This window comes from Homo sapiens, chromosome 10 (genome assembly GCF_000001405.40).
Source record: "Homo sapiens chromosome 10, GRCh38.p14 Primary Assembly".
NCBI lineage: Eukaryota > Metazoa > Chordata > Mammalia > Primates > Hominidae > Homo > Homo sapiens.
Window position 1 is genome coordinate 45187872 of NC_000010.11, and position 20444 is coordinate 45208315.

General features: G+C 39.1%; 1 long non-coding RNA gene and 1 pseudogene across 1 annotated transcript in view; both read right to left on the reverse strand.

The window, feature by feature from the left end:
• Positions 919-1025, reverse strand: RNU6-1207P (RNA, U6 small nuclear 1207, pseudogene; annotated as a pseudogene).
• LOC105378283 (uncharacterized) overlaps positions 3614-20444 on the reverse strand; it is a 33026-nt gene continuing 16195 nt past the window's right edge. The window contains exons 4-6 of the long non-coding RNA XR_001747443.2: positions 6270-6383; positions 5918-6107; positions 3614-4069 (exon numbers count right to left, since the gene is read on the reverse strand). This is a non-coding gene — a long non-coding RNA (uncharacterized LOC105378283). The remainder of the gene's footprint in view (positions 4070-5917; positions 6108-6269; positions 6384-20444) is intronic.

Sequence of the window (20444 nt, forward strand, 5' to 3'; positions counted from 1 at the left end):
AGGCGCAATGTCTTCTAAAAATGAGGATTTTAGAGCCTTATTTCACTAGGTTATTATAAGAATTTAACAAGAGAACATTTTTAAAATACTCTGAGAAATAGTGAAGCAATGAAATAATTTGTTCTTGAACCTTATTGCTGAAACTATTTTAAAATTCCCAATAAAACCCAATGTGTTGGCCTGGTGCAGTGGCTCATGCCTGTGATGCAAGCACTTTGGGATGCTGAGACAGGGGGATCACTTGAGCCCAGAAGTTCAAGACCAGCCTGGGCAACATAGGGAGACCCTGTGTCTACAAAAAATAAATTTTTTTTTTAAAAAACTGTTTATTCATAGGTTATAATGTTCAAATGTTACAGTTTTCTGTTATTAATTCCTACTTTTGGTTATTATTAGATGTTCTATTCTTTGTGGCTTGTAATTCAAGGCATCTAAGCTATTTTATAATTTGTAATGAAATTTATGAATATATTAATTATTAAATTGGACAATCTGATTATCCTCTATTACTGAGCTCATCAATCACACCAAGGGAAGAAAACTATAGATGTCAGCATCTGGCTTGGACTACTACTAATCTTTCTCTACCTCCCTAAACTCTGAACCAACAAATCTTTCTTAGAATGATGCTTAGTCACTATGTTCATTTCCAGCTGCTGTGGAAGACAAAAACCTACCTTTATTTTTTGTAAGTTCCACAAAGAAGATGCCAGTTGGTATTTTCTCATTGGCCTACTAACAACATATTGCACACAAGATCCTATGTGTTACCATATCTCATTTCATAGATCACCTTACATAAATATTTTTCATATGAAAATCACAATTGCAATACTGGCTGTCACCCATTTTGCTTTGACTCACACCATTTCCTTGGAGCTAGTTAGAAAGTAGTCAAATGTCCTTTTGGGGACTGCAAGAAATATGCAACACTTCACAGATTTCTGTGTCATCCTTGTGCAGGGACCATGCTGATCTTCTCGACATTGTTTCAATTTTAGTATATGTACCCCTGAAGCCAGCACAAATCCCTACTTTTATATGTGAAGACTCATCAGTGATGGATGAGGCTTAGCTCTGTTTAATCTAAGCAACCTCCTTGAGATAGAGTGAAGTCTATTGAATGGCTTCATGGTAATGCAGAATTTGAAAATATTTTAAAAACTCGAGATAGAGATGCAAGTAGCACGGGAGATTTTTAACTTTTGGGAAAAAAAGAATCACTTGAGGGGACAACCACAAGTTGGAACCCACTACAACTTTGGAAAGATGACATGGGATCTTACAGAATAAGATGAGACCTTCCACTACCTACAAAATGGTGCTACACGGGATATAAAGTGCCAGGGATATACATCTGGTAACAAAATAAAAATGGAACTCTAATTCCTTCCTGTAACATTATTTCAACCTGACTTACAGTTTTAAACTGTCGCAACTAATATTTGCTAGAGAAAACAGAAAAGTCACTTAAAGGATAACTTATGAAGGTCTAGGCCAAGTTCAGGCAAGATGTGGGTTTCACATCAGGTTTTGAGTGGGAGAAGGGTCAATTTGCTCACTATGTGTGTGGCAAAAGATAAAAGTCCTAGCTGCCAGAGCAGGGTGCTGGTACTTTGGAAACAATGGCTGAGAATATATATGTGAACTTTAAAAAACTGTAATAAATTTGAAGTCTACATATGGATCACCATAAAATCTGTGTTAGTAAGGGCACCTGGTCACAAAGGTCAATCATTACCAGACTGCAGGAACAGTTTCAATGGCAACGATGCAGCAACAGAATCAATGGAAACAACAAAATGAAGAGAATGGCCATTTTCCCCCCCAATCCTTCTGACTTACACAAAATGAATCTCTTCCTTGTACTTAAGGAACCCGTTAGATTCTTTTTAAAAATTCAAGTATTAAGGTATGGAAGACAGCCCCCAGGGGACACTATCAGGTTTTCTGGTAAAGTGGACATTTCAAGACCCAAATAACTAATTAGAAAAATCAAAATTGTGACACTATGTTTATCCCATGCATAGGGGTTATACTTAAAATCAAGTACACAACATTAGGATCCCTAGGGATAAAGCTGTTGAAAGTCCTAAAATAAAGAATCCTGGACCCATTATTCCTTCTAACTAGTCTAGCTTTTTGACTAGTTTCTGGCCGATGAAGTGAACTAACTCACTGTCATTCAAAAATTACCTGAAACAAACTATAAAATCTCACCTAGTCTTTAAATGTAAACACCGATTAAGTCCACAAGCAACAGCATAACGTTCTGCAGTCATTCCACATGTATCTTCAGCACAGATGTCAACATTTTGCTGAAGAACCATGCCAACTATCTCTCATGCTCCATGACATATGGCAAGCATGAGGGCTGTGCTAAAATAACAAAGAGTTAACTTCATTGTTAGGAACAGAACCAATTTAATATGTGCCTGTCAGTGTAGAATTAACCATTTACATGTACTAACAAACATAACTATCTTGAGTGCTCAAGTGTTTATCCTTGTAAATCACCACCAAGGCTAAAAGGAAGGGGCAAAAAGACTCATGTCCCACTGGAATATGGCATACTAGAATTGGCTAACATAAAGTCCTTTGAGGGGCAAAGACTTATGCTTTGTTCACTAACCTAAAAGAGGCAAAGATTTAAGTGAAGAATTATCTATTTCTTCCTTACTCTGATATAATATTTTGTACTTCAAAATCAGCTAGAAGTCAGACAAATAAGAGCAATCTGAAGGCTTAAAACAGTATTAGGAATAATGATATTAGTAGTAGTTACAGTAAGTTTACTTAATGATGCTGATAAGAATGTATGAAACACTGAATTAAATGCTGTTGATATTTATAATGTTACTTCAACACAATCGTCCTTAAAGGACATATTATTATTCTCCTTTTCATATAGAAAATCATAGTTGGTATTAACTAATGTTTGCAAGGTCACACCTATCAAGTGAGGAAGCTAGAAATTAAATTTAGTATTGTGTGAATCAAAAGCCTATCTCTTTTCTCTTTATCACTCACCTATGGCTTATCTTAATTAACTAAAATGTTAATCCAATTAAAGATGTCTTTCTTCCCTCTACCCATACAAATTAAAAATAAAAATACACTATGAATAAAAAAGAAAAAAATAATAAATTCACAGTATCTGGTGATAGCAATTAATAGTCACGTAGGGATAACCTAAAATTAATACTCTTCAAAGAAAACAAAGCAAACAATCATCCTAAAGACAAAATGATTTTAAACTCCTATTTCTATTTAATATTGCTTTTTCTATGAGACAGAATCTATCTCACTCTGTTACCCAGGCTAGAGTGTGGTGGCACGATCTCAGCTCACTGCAACCTCTGCCTCCCGGGTTCAAGCGATTCTTGTGCCTCAGCCCCCCAAGTAGCTGGGACTACAGGCATGTGCCACCATTCCCGGCTAATTTTTGTATTTTTAGTAGAGATGGGGTTTCACCATGTTGGCTAGGCTAGTCTCAAACTCCTGGCCTCAAGTGATCCAACCACCTTGGCCTCCCGAAGTGCTGGGATAACAGGCAACAGCTACCGTGTCCAGCAAATATTGCATTTTTTTAAAAGTGTATAAAAAAACGGAAGTTAGAAAAATACTATAAAAGTGTTAATCATTCAATATTGAATTACAAAGTAAACTAAAAAATCATACTTCTTAAAACTAATACAGAACCACTTTAGCTTATGGAAGATAATGCAACCAAAAACATCAGATTACACATAAGAATCAATCAATATAATAAGAGAAGTCCTACTACATACTGCTCTTTATGTTGATCAGTCCAAATAATTGCTTTACTTCTGATAATTTGTGTTGATATGTTTCACTATAATCTAATAATTTTAAGTAAATATTAATTTAATATTTCTGACTTGAGTCTTATTTCTCTAGAACACTACTCAAGTGTTTTTTAATAAAAAAAAAGAACTACTATACCATTTAAACTTATTAACTGCATTTGCATTTTTTTTGTCTGTAAAAATTCCACAATTTGCTCACGTCTTTTCATTATGGCCAGTAAAAGTGGTGTGAGGCTAGCCTGTAAAACAGTAAAACGATTTATAATTCATGAAATTACATATTTCTCAGCTGAACTGAATACTTTATATAATATCCTATGAACTTAAACACATAAAATATAAAGTCAATCAATAGCAATCCCTTCCTTCTCCCTTTTCTGTGCTTTCTCATGCACTGCACCTTACCTTGTTTCAGCCTCTGCATCACCAAATTAACTCTGGTTATCTCCAAAAATCATTATATTGTAATGATTTTATGGTTTCTCTTCTAAACCAAGAGCTTCTTGAGGGCAAGGGCTGTATCCTTTATCTCTATATCCTTAAACCCTAAGACATAGTAGTAAATATTTTGTTTTTGACTAAATTAGTAATCTAAATTATTACCTCTAGAGCAGTGTTTCTTAAACTATATTCTAAAAGATAATTACCTTACCAGAAGTAATGTACCCCAACAGATTCCACCATTATCTATGTTGAAGAAATATTATAAAACTGTGAATTAAATGTCCATTATTCAATAAATGACTTGAACTTTGCCTAATCCTTATTTGACAATATATTTTTGTGGCAGACATTAACATTTGACAAATTAGAATTTCAGGGATACAGTTTTGAAAGCTTTGCAAGAAAAATGGAGGTTTCCTCTGGGTGATACAAACTCACTTGATTCTCTTCTACCAATAATCCCAAGATCCCAGATGCCAATGTCAGGCACACCTGCTCTAAATGGGTCACTAAGGAAGTGGCTCTAAATTAAAAGAGTTTGGCTTCAAATGAACTTTGATTGCTTATTATTAAATAATAATGGGGTTTCTCCTATTACAAGACAACAGAATTTTATCTCAGCTATTAGAAATTCAGTATAAAACTTTATTCTCAATTATAATAATCATCCTAGGATCCTAATGCATATCTTTTTAAAATGCAATAATCCATTTTTATTCTGATTTCTATTAGCTGCTACTTAATTTTTGACAAAATATCAACAATATTAATAAAATGGCTTATTAATTAAAGTTCTAACTCATCTATGTGGATTAGCATAATATAAGCCACTAAATCACTTGAATTTTAAGGGACGATTCTGAGGAGAAGGATATAATATTTTCTACAATATGCACAACCTATTCAAATACAACCATGATTAATACAAAAAGGCTTAAAGTCATTCTAATAGAAGATGATTATTTATGGTTTATATACAGAAAAATCATTGTTTAAAAAATCTAAATTCTAGAAGTAGCCCATTATTAATGAATTAATGTAAAATATAAACTATATATTATAAACAGCTATCAACTGTCTTGAATACCTTGAAATCTCTACCAAAATATACTATGAGAGAGGAATTGATAACTGAAATATTTACAGAGGCAAAAGAGGTAAGTTGAGGAAGTGATGTAACTAGGTGGGCACAGTAGCAAACTGGAAACATATGCTTTGTGTAAAGTTAGAACGTCTTCATAGCATACCAAACAGTCATATGGGCTCAAGAGACACCAGATTCAATCCTTTAAGAGGAAATCCAGATTTCTGCATGTCTCCTACATTTTACATGTTGACTCAATTTATGCAGGCAAATTTTGCTTTCCTGTAGTTTCACACTAATTGGAAAGAAAAAAAACTTGGGTAGGAAAGAATATTTGAAAAAGTTTTACCTTTAACAAATTCAAATATTTATCATAAATGCATAGAAAAGCCACACTCTCTGGTAATTCTTGTAAAAATATTAATATTTAAAGTAAAATCTTAGAAAATTAAGTTCTTTCAAACCATTTTCATTCAAGGAATGTTTGAGCTTCCAAATATAAAAAACCTTACATATGTTAATGTTAAAACAAATGGATTTCAAATATTTTGAAAATAACCTTGGTTAACGTCCACCTTGTTTTGCACTTTGATGACTGCACCATGGGACAGCAGTTTTGCCACCATTGACAAATTCTCACTATAAACAGTATAATGGAGAGCCGTGTTGCCATACACATCTACAATATTTAGATCGGCACCAGAATCTGTGAGAATATTTGCACAAGCCTCCCTCTGGCATTGTAGAGCCTGTCAGTATTAAAACAAGAAGTAAATTATAAATTATAGGAAATCAAAATAAATATTCCACAGGTTTCACAAACTAGTTGTATTTCAATGAGATAAATTCATTTTTATTCTATGTATTTAAACCAAATCCATCTCCTGCTGAAAAAACTGGCTACGATTTACCTTCATCAGAGGTGTCCAGTTTTCGCCATCAGGACGTCAAGCTGGCACTTTCTGTCTACCAGAAATGTTACTACTTCCGCATGGCCGTTGACACAGGCCCAGTGTAGAGCAGTCCTACGAGAGTGAGAGGACTTTTAGGCAAAGTATAGTCCACTGTCTCAAAACATACAACGATTTATGTAATTGTAAACATTAAATACCATGCTCTTTCTCTGCCTTCAAAAGAAATATTTAATATTCTCCTGAAGAAAGTACAACATTTGTTCACTCTTATTACTCACTGCATTAATGAAAGAGTGGCCTATTTGAATAGAAAGAGTTTGGCCTTTGGATTCAGTTCAACTTGGGCTTGAATATTACTTTAAGAAGTTTCACTTTCTAGCTGTCACTTAAACTTTCTGCACCTCGATTTTCTCATCAATAAAATGAAGATGAATACAGCAGTTATCTCACAGGACATCACTGTGATGCCTCAATGAGAATCTATGCAAAGTATTTTGGAGAGTTCTTAGCACATGTAACAGCTCAGTAGTTGTTAGATATAATTATGACTACTACTTAACAAAGGCAACATTTTAAGTAAAAGGTGCAATTATGCCTGTTTTGTGGTGTGCTTTAAAGGTTAGAGATAACACGGTATTTTAATGATTCTAAGATGCTCAATTTCTCATATTTTAACATTTCTGACATTGAAATGCCACTTATAATTCATTATTTATTACAACTATATTTAGCAGAAATTTAAACAATCTTTTATTGGTGCATAAAATAAGGAAGCATCACACAATTCACAGTGCCTTCCAAGAAGTGGAATACGGTATATACAACAGGACGATGGCAGTCCCAGTCGCAGGATTAACACTGAAAGAAATTTTAACTTTTAAGAGTACTACGCAAAAAGAGAGTTGAAATAAAAACAACTGTTTAATATTTAATATTAAATTAAATTAATATTTAATAACTTCTTTAATATTTTAAAAACTTCAAGCCAAAGAAAACTTGGGATTCAAATAAATAGGTATGGCTCATTTTATTCTGTATTTAGATTTACAGACTATGTAAATTCATATTTAAATTTATAGAACCCATGTAAATTAGATATTTCCAATGATTAATATTACTCTTTAAAGCTGTTATAAATGTCCAACATCGTGGGTGGTAGTTATCACTTACTAGTTTCCCACTTCAGAATTGTTTTTGTTTTAAAGATGAGAGGGAAAGCTTCAACTGAGATTCAGTCCTAATACTCCAATTTTAAATCTCTCACTTTCCTCAGGCTGAGCAGGTAAATGTGAAATTTTTAAGGATGAAAAGGTCTTCAGAGTTAATAGGATGTCTCTTCTACATAATAGGCATTCAGCTTACATGTGATAAATGGATTAAAAGAATGGATCAATACAGTTGGGAAGTTCAATATCTTAAAAAACTGCTATAAATAAAGCACTTATATTTGCTATTTTATTTTTCTAATAATTACACTAAAATGATTAATCTATAATTATTGGCACATACATAAGTCTATATATGTGTCTAATAAAATGTATATGTAAATCAATAACCACAGATAAAAGATTCTCTTCTGAAGATGCTAAAAGTTCACAGAATATACTAATCCATAAAAAAATTATAGAACATGAGAAATTATTTTTATCTGTGAAAAATTCATATTCCTGCACTTCTCAAAAATTATTTCATTAATAACAAACTTTTACTAACAGCATTGTACATGCTCAATGCAGAAATCAAAGATAATAAAAAGGAAAAACATTTAAATTTAAACAAATGCCCTCAAATAATAAATTTTATCATATTTCATACATAATTTCAGATAACACAAGACCATAGTCTGTATGTGTAATCAAACTGAACTTTACCTTCACTTGATACACCAAAATATATTTTCAAATGTCAACATACTTCTGTATATATTTCTACCTTGAGTGGTCACATATTATCCCATGCTGTAAACTCACTGAAGTGTATTTATAAAAGCCATTATATCGATTCTTCTTAATACATTGATATTTTAAGCAGTGCTCAGAAAAGAAATTGTGTGTATGTTTCATTATTTTGTAAAAACATTTTAGTATAATAGAATTGATCACTAACAGGCATAAACAGTTTTTAAATATGGTACTTACCATCAAATTGTCTATTGAAAAGTCATCTGCAACTTAAACTTTAAGGAGCACTATAAATATCACTGCTTTTTATCCTCACAAACTTTGTGGACAGGAAACAGTATTTGAGTCCTCTTTTAACTTAAATGCCTTCTCTAACCAGGAACACTAAATATTGTTTCCTGTGTGCATAGGCCACTTACAGATCTTAAAAAAGGACTTTGCCCAATTTTAAATTAGAGGTCAAGTAGTTTTTTTAGATCTGCAATTTAGACCTCTAATTTATGTTGCCCAATTTTAAATTAGAGGGTTTTTTTGTTGATTTGAGTGAATTCTCTATAAAATGAAGATTTTTAAATCTAATATGTATACACACACGCATATACATATGTAGTAAATATTTTACAAGTATGCTGCCTTTTATTTTTTCTCATGTGCACGGTGATTTAATTTTTGTTTTACTAAATTAACCTTCAGAATGCTTGCTTCTGAGCTTCTTAGAAAGGTTTTGTCAACATAAAAATGTATCTGTGTGAACAGGCATTTTGTTTTCTTCTGGTATTTTTATCATTTTGTATATTAAAAACTTTGGAATTTTGTGGCATAAAAATCTAGTTTTCTCCAAAAAGCAGGCATTTCACTTATGAAATTAGTTATTTTCCTACTAGTACAAAGTGTGACCATTATCAAGATCTAAATTCTTACATATATTTGGGTGTTTCTGGATTTTCTATTCTATTGTATCCATTTACCTGTTAGCAAACAGTTTGTGATTTTATTTATCTCATTTATTTATTTTTTGAGACAGAGTCTCACTCTGTCGCCTAGGCTGGATTGCAGTGGTGGGATCTCGGCTCACTGCAACCTCTGCCCACCGGGTTCAAGCAATTCTCCCGCCTCAGCCTCCCGAGTAGCTGGGATTACAGGCACCCGACATCATGCCCGGCTAATTTTTGTATTTTTGTAGAGACGGTGTTTCACCATATTGGCCAGGCTGGTCTTAAACCCCTGACCTCAGGTGATCCATCTGCCTCGGCCGCCCAAAGCGCTGGAACTACAGACGTGAGCCACTGCTGCTGGCCCATCTTGTGCAAATTGATAGCACATTTTGACATCTAGAAGGGCAAGACTTTTCTACTCAATTACAAAATATTTAAAATGTCATCACAGTAGTAAAAGACAGCCTGTGTAATTTTTTAAAAAAATGTTAAAACGTTGATAACTTTATTTGGTTTATGTAAAACTGATAAAGAACTCGCATCTTGAGAAAAATGAGTCTTCTTAAATTCAAGAATATAAACCATCTTCCCACCTCAAAGTTTCCTTTCTAAGACCCCTCAGCAAAGAACATATTTACATAGACATTCATTGATATCAAAATGGATATTGGACTTCATCCAAAGAACTTTTAGCCAAGAAGTCCATATATTATAGGAATTATTTCATTATGCACCATTTCATAATGTATCTAACATTATCTTTTAAAACCTGTACATTAAAAGTAAAACCCTGTATGTACTTAATTTTGTGAGTTAAATCACTTTAAAATTTTCTACACAGTGCTCTGTGAGAGGAAGTGGAAGTGAAGGAGAAAGCAGCGAAAGTTTGGGGTTGATTTTAAGGTGGCCTGGGCCCTCTGACCTGCAGGACGCCCCCATCCCAGGCCTGGGGGGCCTACCCGGGAAGAAGGCCTAGACCCCAGGGCCCAGGACGGCCGACCTACCGCTCGCCACTCCTCCACCTGCTCCCCTCGTCCCCAGGCCTCCCAGCACCTCATTCTTAAGGGGCGATCCTCCTACAGCCGCCTCCTCCTCCTGCAGCCCCGGCTCAGGCAGGGCCTGGTATCTCTTCGTCACATCTCTTTTGTTCAGGTCGATGGTCTTCCTCATGGTTATCCCCTCCAGATTCCAGGCTTGGCCCAGGGAGACAACTTTGTGGATCTTCCTGAGATCCCCATAGTGGATCACGCAAGAGTCCTTGTTGGTATAGACCAGCTGACTGAAGGGGCTCCGGCGCTCCGGGCCCTTCACGCCCTTGCCAGCTGCGGCAGAGAGCTTCTTCATGGCTGCGGCCACCTCCTAGAGAGAGCCTGTGCCTCCCGCTCGCCCTTCCCCAGCCCCCGCCGCTCGCCCTCGCCCTTCTTGAGTCCCCACACCCGCTCCAACACCAGTAAAACTTGCTGTCTGGCCAAGCTCTTGGACACTACGGCTTCTCCTGGGAGAAATTCGCTGAGCAAAGCCATTAGGCAGCAGTGCATGCGCAGCTCAGCAGGCTGAGGAGACACGCGCCCTGGCCGCCCTCCCCCGGGCACCGCATGCAGGTGGCACCTGCCGCTGAGGCGCTGTCGGGCTGGCCTCCCTGGAGCAGAACGTGGGAGACACCCTGCCACACGGTCCGCTTGACATAGCCGCCCCTGGCCCCTCCTCGACCCGCGATCCAGGAGCTGGGCCCTGGCGCTGGGCACCGTGCAGCCTCCTCGATGGCGCTGAGTGGCGGTTCCCGCCCTCCTGCAGCTGGGGACCCACCCCTGACTTAGAATCCCTGGACGCTTCTGGCCCAGGGATCCGCGCTGCTGGTGGCGCTGACAGGGTCCGGGTTGGAGCCCCTGCTGCCGCGTGCCATGTTCAGATGAGAGCTGCACCTGAGTCCACGGTGGAGGCTGCAGGGCTGGGCCCAGACCGCTGAGGGTCGTCGAGTGAACCGCCCTACCACCCTGGGCTCTGCTCTTTCTTGGCCGGCGCTGGCAGCTCAGGCTCACGACCTCTGAGCCCCGTACAGCTGCCGAGATGAGGCACTGAGGCAGATTCCCGCCCTCCTGCAGCTGACGTCCCACCGCCTGACTTAGGCGCAGTGACGCCGTCCGACCCTAGGGTGTGCCGCTGCTGGTGACAAGGACAGGTTCTGGGGTTGCCACTGCTGCTGCCACGTTCGAATACCAGCTGCAGCTGAGCCCAAGGCGGAGGCTGCACGGCTGGGCCCAGAGGGCCTGAGGGTCGCCGTGTGGCACACGCCCTCCCTCTCCAGGCCCTGCACTTCCTTGGCTCGCGCCCAGAGCACTGGGTTGCGGGCTCTGGACACTGCAGACGCCAGGATGGGGCAGAGCGGCGGGTTCCTGTCCTGGTGCAGATATGGGGCGGACCGACTGACATCAACGCTGTAGCAGCATCTGTCCCTGGTCCGCGCTGACTGGGCCCATGGAGAAGAAGGAAGTTTAGGGTTGCTCGGCCATATTTGCCTGTTCCCCAAGTGCAGGTAGAGGCTAAAGCTCAGACAGCGGCACGGATGGCGGGTCCGTTTGACGGCTTCAGGTTGCTGAGTGTGCCCCCTGCTCGGCCCCAGAGTCCCTTCCTCGTTCACCCGCATCTGGAATATGGCGGTGGCGCTGGGTAATCTGCAGTCATCCTGGATGTGGCTGAGCTGCGGTTCTCTCCCTTGGGCTGAAAGGGAGACTTAGTTGAGTAGAGCAGATGGAGAAAAAGTTAGATTGAACTCATCCTGCTTAAAGACTTGCAGGCTGGGTGCAGTGCCTCATGCCTGTACTTCCAGCGCTTTGGGAGACTGAGATAAGAGGATCACTTGATCCTGGGAGTTTCAGACCAGATTAGACAACACAGGGAGACTTCATCTCTACAAAAATAAAACGAATCAGCCAGGCATGGTGGTACATGCCTGTGACCCCAGCTACTTGGGAGATTGATTGTGGGAGGATCACTTGGTTCCGGAGGTTTGTGGGTACAGTGATCTGTGATTGTGTCACAAACAAGCAATGAGAGGCCTTGTTGCTCCACATCCTAGACAGATTTGACATTTGCAGTCTTCTGGATTTCCGTTATTATTTGGTTATTTCTGCCCCTGCATTTTAAGCCTAGGCAACACAGACTCGCTCTCTAAATAAATAAATAAATAACTTCTAGTCACTGTATCATATCTATGTTGAATTCTTTACACACGAAGCTTGCAGAGTTGAAACTCCCAGCACCCTCTAATTATGTGATAGGGACCATGTGATTAAAGTGGGTGACCACGTTCTTGCTTTTGGTCATTCCAATAGGTATGCAGTGGTAGTTCATTACTGCATTTCCCTAAGGAAATATTATGTGGCCCATCATTACATATGCTTATTTTTTATTTGTATATTTTATTTGGTGAGATGCCTGTTACAGTCTTTAGTTCACTTTTTAATTGGGTTGTTTGTTTATTATTATTCAATTTTAAGAATATTGGTAAATTTTGGAGAAAATTCATTATTCAAATATGTTTTGCAAATATTTTCTTCCAGTCTGTGGCTTGTCTTCCCTTTCAATGGCTTTCACACACACAAAAAAGTGACATTTTAATCAAGTCCAACTTATCATATTATTTCTTTTAGGTACTGTAACTTTGGCGTTTTTCTAGAGATCATCAAACCCAAGAGAGTCTAGATTTTCTCCTGTTATTTTCCAGAAGTTTTATAGTTTTGTATTCGACATTTATGTCTGTGATTCATTTTGAGTTAATTTTGGTGAGGGGGTAAGATCTGATTTTTTTTCACTTGTGGATATTCAGTTGTTCCAGCACCAATTTCAGAAGAAACCAATCTTTGTTTCATCATATTGCCTTTACTTTTCCATCAAAGATTAAATATATTGATTTGTCTCTATTTCTAAACTGTCTTGTTTCATTAATCTGTCTATTCTTTCATCAACATGATACAGCCTTGATTACCATAGCTTTACAGTTAAGTCTTGAAGTTGGGTAGTGCCTGTCTTTCCTCCAACTTTGTTCTCTCCTTCAATATTGTGTTAGCTATTCAAGGTCTTTTTCTTCTCCATATAAGCTTTAGAATTAGCTTTTCTATATCTATAAAATAATTTACTTCCATGTTGAGTAGAAGTGCATTGAATCCGTACATTGGGAAGAGCTGACATCTTGACAATATTGAGTTTTTCTATTCATTAATATAATGTATCTTCTCCATCTGTTCAGTTCTTTTTTGATTTCTGTCATCAGATACGGACAGTTTATGAAATTACATAACTTCCTCTACCTTGACCAAAGAACAGTGATGAATTCCTCATTCTGCAGCCAACAAGTCACCTGTGAGAGCCATGTGTCTAAACATAGACATGTGGGTAAGAAAATGATAAAGAGATCCTGGGAAACATAGGAAATTCATGAATCAGCAACTGTGTCTAAGTAACTCCTTTCCATATCCCCAGTGCACCTGTTGCTTCAGCCAATACCTGCTGGTGTAGCCGAGGATGCTGGTGCTCCTGGCTTTCCCGGCCCTGCCCCCAGGGCTACCTTCGGGTGTGTGCCTCTTGACCTTAGCGAGAATGTAGTTCTTTATCCCTACCATGGGTGAAATATTTTCGCAAATAAACACTTTTTAAAATAATGTCAACTTTTATATTAGAGGTGCTGCGTGTGCAGGTTTGCATGTGTCTTTTTGGTACAGTGTTGTATTTTCTTTCGGTATATACCCAGTAATGAGGTTGATAGTTCAATTAGTAGCTCTATATTACATTTTTTGAGGAATCTCCAAACTGCTTTCCATAGTGGCTAACCTGATTTACATTCCCAGTGACAGTGAATAGGAGTTTTCTATTGTCTGCAGCCTCGCCAGCATTTGTTAACAAATATTTATATATTTCAGGCAAAGATCATCTGTTAGTTTTTATTTCAGCACATCCTCTGAAGAAGATAGTGTTTTTAACAACCAAAGATGATTCAACATTTCAAACTTGTTTTTTTATTTTTCTTTTTCTGACGCCATGTGGAACTTTCTGTCTGCCTCAGTTTAAGGTATAGGTTAAGAGCACTGTACCTTGAAGTGACCCATCTCAGTGGCCCCATGCAGTGTTCTATCCCAGAACTCTTCACAAGCTTTTGCCCTGTGTGACCAGTGTGGAAAGGAGCCCCCCCAGATAGTGTTTCACCAGGCAAGTGACCAACTAAAGAATTACCACAATTATGTGTGACTGTTCTCAAGGTTCCCAAACATACAGAGGGGGACAGTTGCAGGTAATAAAGCTTTATTAAAGGCAGTAACATCTCAACCCAGCAGGAAACATACTGTGGGCTATGAGAACAGGTTACAATAAATATTGAGGAAGAAAAATTCACTTTAATCAGATATTCGCCCCAAAATCCTCTTGCTCAAATATTAAATGTTCTTCCTGCACACGTGGCAATACCAGACTTACAGAAAGCACACGTGGTGAGAGACAAAGCCTGCTGCCTATCTGTGAGCTTCAGTGCCCAATGAGACTCGGCAAGCTGTTCATCTCTTCTTTCTACACTCCTGCTTTTATTGCACAGTATATTTTCATATATGTTTTATTCCATTTTTGAATGTTGTATTCCATTGGTCTCTCAGACTAATGATGAAACAATATGACACAATTTTAATTTCCAAGTCTCTACAATATTTTACAGGGGAAGTCACTCTCTCAATTTTCAGACTTTTCATGGATATTTTGTTTGCTCTTCTATACAATAAAATTTCTATATTCAGAACACAGATGGTATCTACATTGGAGTTAAACTCAACTTATTTAATTTTCGTTATTTATTTAAATTTTATTTTAACCTTAGGGGTACATGTGCAGGATGTGCAGGTTTGTTACATAGGTAAATGTCTGTCAGGGGTAAGGGTTGTTGCACAGATTATTTCACCACCCAGATATTAAGCCAAGTGTCCATTAGTTATTTTTCCTGATCCTCTCTTTCTCCCCACCTTCCACCCTCCAGTAGACCCCAGTATGTGTTGTTTCCCTCTATGTGCCCATGTGTTCTCATCATCTAGTTCCCACTTATATGTGAGAACATGCCATAGATGGTTTTCTGTTAATGCATTCCTTTACTAAGGATACTGGTCTCCACCTTCATCCATGTCCTTGCAAAGGTACATATACACCATGGAATACTATGCAACCAAAAAATCAGCTTATTAATTAAAGTACCTTTGATGTCTTAATAATGTTGACCCTGCCTAATCATGTAATGTCATAATTTTCATTTATACAAATCTATTTTGATGTTTTCAAGAAATATTTTGCAACAATTCCATACAAATTGATTTAAAATAATTGTTCAGGAAATTTTGGCATTATCTGTTTTCCATCTATGAACATGAACACAAGACAGTCTCATTAATTCAATTAACATAATTTATTGTGTTAATGAATTTCCTAATTCGATGACTCTCACTTGCATTTCAGGCATAAATGGAATTCCTAATGATCTAATATTTTAATGGGTTGACACAATGCTTTTTAACATTTAAAAATTTTACTTTCATATAATATGTTCTTATTATCTATAATATTCTATACAGCATCAAACAAGTAAAGTTGTATCACTTTTATATATCCTTTCTAAAAACTATTGGGAATGTTGGTTACCTTATAACTTTTAAATAGTTTAAGCAGTATTGGTATATTAATTAGTTCATGAGTAAAATTTTCTTCTGGACAATATAAATATGGTGCTTTCTTTTGTGCAAAACTAATCTTAAATAAACGTTCCGTTTCTTCTATGAATACTACTTAATTTAGCACCTCTATCTCTATGAGGTAAATGACCTTAAACTATATATTCCTAGACTATATATGAGCCACATTTTAATACTCATTTGCATTGAATCACACAATTTTGTTCCTGTTTTTCATTTTAATATATGACTTTAAATTCTTCTCTGCACGGAAACCTGTTGACACCTCCTTTTCAAGCTCTTTGTGTGGTCCCATCTGTTTACAATTCACTAATACTTCGGCTCAGGAATTTCGGGGTTAACTGAAAATCAGATTTTCAGCAGAGGCAGATCTCAGGGAAGCACGGAATCTGGTAAGACACATGTGCTTTGCTGTCAGTCTTTCATGTCTCAGACTCAGCATTTCCAGTTCTCTCCATGTGAGCCCCTGTCTGCCTCCAGGGATTACGGAAAAACAGAGCCTCTCCCATTTTCATGTCTTTGAAGGTGCTTGGGTATAACGTTGTCATTTTTTTGGTAATTGGAAACTAAGACAAAGTTATTCAAAAATCACTATAACTCATCAAATATGTACTGTCCTTTTATCTACAGGTGAGATGACAATTGTAGTTCTCTGGGGAAGTAAACTCATAGGATCACAAGCCCCTATCCCAGCGTCTATGCGCTCAATGGCTGTTGTGAACATAAACCTGAGCCCATTGTCCCAGCAGCAGAAAGAAATCAGGTGAGTAGTTTATATTTCAATCTGTAAGCAGAGTCTATTGTCTGTGGATCAATAGACAGAATACGTGCTCTTTTCTTGAAAAAAAAAATTTCTGGGTCACAAACTGACCAGGACCAAATCCACGCATGAAAAAGGAAATAATTACTGAGTCGTGAGCTTAACTTTTGGAGAAATAATGGATGTCCAAGACCATAAATCAATCCGTAAGTGTTCCTAAATTAATTGTATGTCATTCTCACTGTTCATCATTGTTGAATTTTGATGTATGAAGCCATAAAATTTGTTTTCTGGGCGCTGTGGCTCAAGCCTGTAATCCCAACAATTTGGGAGGCAGAGGCTGGTAGAGTATGAGGTCAGGAGTTGGAGAACACTCTGGTCAACATAGTAAAACCCCGTCTCTACTAAAAATACAAAAAGTTAGCCATGTGTGGTGGTGTGCGCCTGTATTCCAAGCTACTCAGGAGGCTGAGGCAGGAGAATCCCGTGAACCGGGGAGGCAGAGGTTGTGGTGAGCCGAGATCACGCCATTGCACTCCAGCTTGGCAGGCTGGGCAACAGTGCAAGACTCCATATCAGAAAAAGAAAAAAAAAAGGTTTCTGAAGGTTCTCTAGTATAATTTGAAAGTGAGGGGCGCCCTTCCACACCGCACGCTTGACAGAGCCACCCCGGCTCTTCCTGGACCCGCGATCCAGGAGCTGGGCCCTGGAGCTGGGCACCCTGCAGGATCCTGGATGACGCTGACAGTCAGTTCCCTCCCTCCTGCAGCTGGGAACCCATCCAGTGACTTGGGCGCCCTGGAGGCTTCTGGCCAAGGATCCGCACTGCTGGTGGTATTGGCAGGGTCAGGGATGCAGCCCCTGCTGCCGCGTGCCATGTTCAGGCAGCAGCTACAGATAAGTCCACACTGGAGGCTGCAGGGTTGGGCCCAGACAGCTAAGGGCCGTCGAGTGCATGAGCCTTTCACCCTGGGATCTGCTCTACCTTTGCCAATGCTGGCAGCTCAGGCTCGCGACCTCTGGGCCCTGTACAGCTGCAGGGATGAGGCTTTGCTGCAGGTTCCCGCCCTCCTGCAGCCCAGGGCCCAAAGCCTGACTTAGGCGCAGTGGCGGCGTCCGACCCTAGGGTTCACCGCAGCTGGTGGCACGGACAGGTTCTAGGGTTGGCACCGCTGCTGCCACCTTCAAATGCCAGCTGCAGCTGAGCCCACGGTGGTGGCTGCAGGGCTGGACCCAGAAGGCCAGAGGGTCGCCGTGTGGAACACACCCTCCCTCTCTAAGCCCTGCTCTTCCTTGGCTCGCGCCCAGGGCACTGGGTTGAGGGGTCTGGGCACTGTGCAGCCGCCAGGATGGGGCTGAGGAGCCGGTTCCTGCCCTGGTGCAGACATAGAGTTGATCCACAGATTTCTGTGCAGCAGCGGCACCTGTCTCTAGTCCGCGCTGCCTGGGCCCAGAGGGGAAGTGGGGAGTTTGAGGTTGCTTGGCCATTTTGCCTGTGCGCCAAATGCAGGCAGCCCCTACAACTCAGACAGGCACGGATGGCGGGTCCCGTTTGGACGGCTTCAAGGTTGTTGACTGCACCTGCTGCCAGGCCTCAGGGTCCCTTCCTCGTTGACCCGCATCTGGAGTATGGCGGTGGTGCTGGGTAATCTGCCCCCATCCTGGATAGGGCTGAGCTGCGGTTCTCTCCCTCGGGCTGAGAAGGAGACTTAGCTGAGTAGAGCAGATGGAGAAAAAGTTAGATTGAACTCATCCTGCTTAAAGACTTGCAGGCTGGGTGCAGTGCCTCATGCCTGTACTTCCAGCGCTTTGGGAGACCAAGATAAGAGGATCACTTGATCCCAGGAGTTTCAGACCAGATTAGACAACACAGGGAGACTTCATCTCTACAAAAATAAAGCAAATCAGCCAGGCATGGTGGTGCATGCCTGTGGCCCCAGCTACTTGGGAGATTGATTGTGGGAGGATCACTGGGGCCTGGGAGTTCGTGGGTACAGTAAACTGTGATTGTGCCACAAACAAGTGGCGAGAGGTCCTTTTGCTCCACATCCTTGACAGCATTTGACGTCTTCATTCTTCTGGATTTTGCTTATTGTTTGGTTATTTATGCCCCTGTACTCCAAGCCTGGGCAACAGAGAATCTCTTTCAAAACAAATAAATACATACATACATACATACATACACACATACATAAAAGAATTCTAGTCACTATATCATATCTAAGTCGAATTCTTTACACATCAACTTGTAGAGTTAAAGCCCCCAGCGCCCTCTAATTATGTGATAGGGACCATGTGATTAGAGTGGGTGACCATGTTCTTGCTTTTGGTCATTCCCATAGATGTGCAGTAGTAGCTCATTACTGCATTTAAGAAAATATTATGTGGAACGTCATTACATATGCTTATATTTTATTTGGCGAAATGCCTGTTACACTCTTTAGTTCATTTTTTAATTGGGTTGTTTGTTTAGTTTTAATAAGATTGGTATAATTTGGATAAAATTCATTAATCAAATATGTTTTTCAAATATTTTCTTCCAGTCTGTGGCTTGTCTTCTCTTTCAATGGCTTTAAGAGAACAAAAATGTGGCATTTAAATCAAGTCCAGCTTGTCATATTATTTCTTTTATGTATTGTAACTTTTGCGTTTTTCTCTAGAGATCATCAAACCCAAGAGAGTCTAGATTTTCTCCCGTTACTTTCCAGAAGTTTTGCAGTTGTCTATTTGACATTTACGTCTGTGATTCATTTTAACTTTGGTGAGGGGGTAAGATCTGATTCATTTTTTTTTTTACATGTAGATATTCAGTTGTTCCAGCAGCACTTTCTGAACAAACCAATTTTTGTTTCATCATGTTGCCTTTACTTTTTCATCAAAGATTAAATACATTGATATGTCTCTATTTCTAAACTGTCTTGTTTCACTAAACTGTCTCTTCTTTCATCAACATGATACAGCCTTGATTACCATAGCTTTACAGTAATTCTTGAAGTTGAGTAGTGCCTGTCTTTCCTCCAACTTTGTTCTCCTTCAATATCGTGTTAGCTATTCAAGGTCTTTTTCTTCTCCATATAAGCTTTAGAATTCACTTTTCTATATCCATAAAATAATTTGCTTCCATTTTGATTAGAAGTGCTTTGAATCTACACATTGGGGAGAACTGGCATCCTGATGATACTGAGTTTTTCTATTCATGTATATAACTCCTCCATCTGTTCAGTTCTTTTTTGATTTCTGTCATCAGATATGAACAGTTTATGGAATTACATAACTCCCTCTACCTTGACAAAAGAACAGTGATGAATTCCTCATTTTGCAGACAAGTCACCTCAAAGGGCCATGTGACTAAACATAGACAGGACGGTAAGAAAATAATAAAGACATCCTGGGAAAAATAGGAAATTCAAGAAATAATAACTCCTGTTAGTGAGCTCTCATGAGACAGGATGGTTTTATAAGGGGCTCTTCCCCCTTTGCTCAGCACTTCTCCTTCCTGCTGCCTTGTGAAAAAGGTGCCTTGATTCCCCTTCTGCCATGATTTTAAGTTTCCTGAGGCCTCCCCAGCCATGCTGAACTGTGAGTCAATTAAACCTCTTTCCTTCATAAATTACCCAGTCTTGAGCAGTTCTTTATAGCAGTGTGAAAATGGACTAATACAATTTTCAAACTACAAATTTAAAGAACATACTACATACCTGGGAAATAATCAGACCAGAATGACCTATACCCTACACCAAGTCATACTCCAGTAAAATTACAGGACATAAAATTGTATCAACAGGCTTTCAGACAATTTATGCCAGAAGCAATAAAGTAACACATCGACAACACTCCAGAAAAGAAACTTTGAGTCTGTA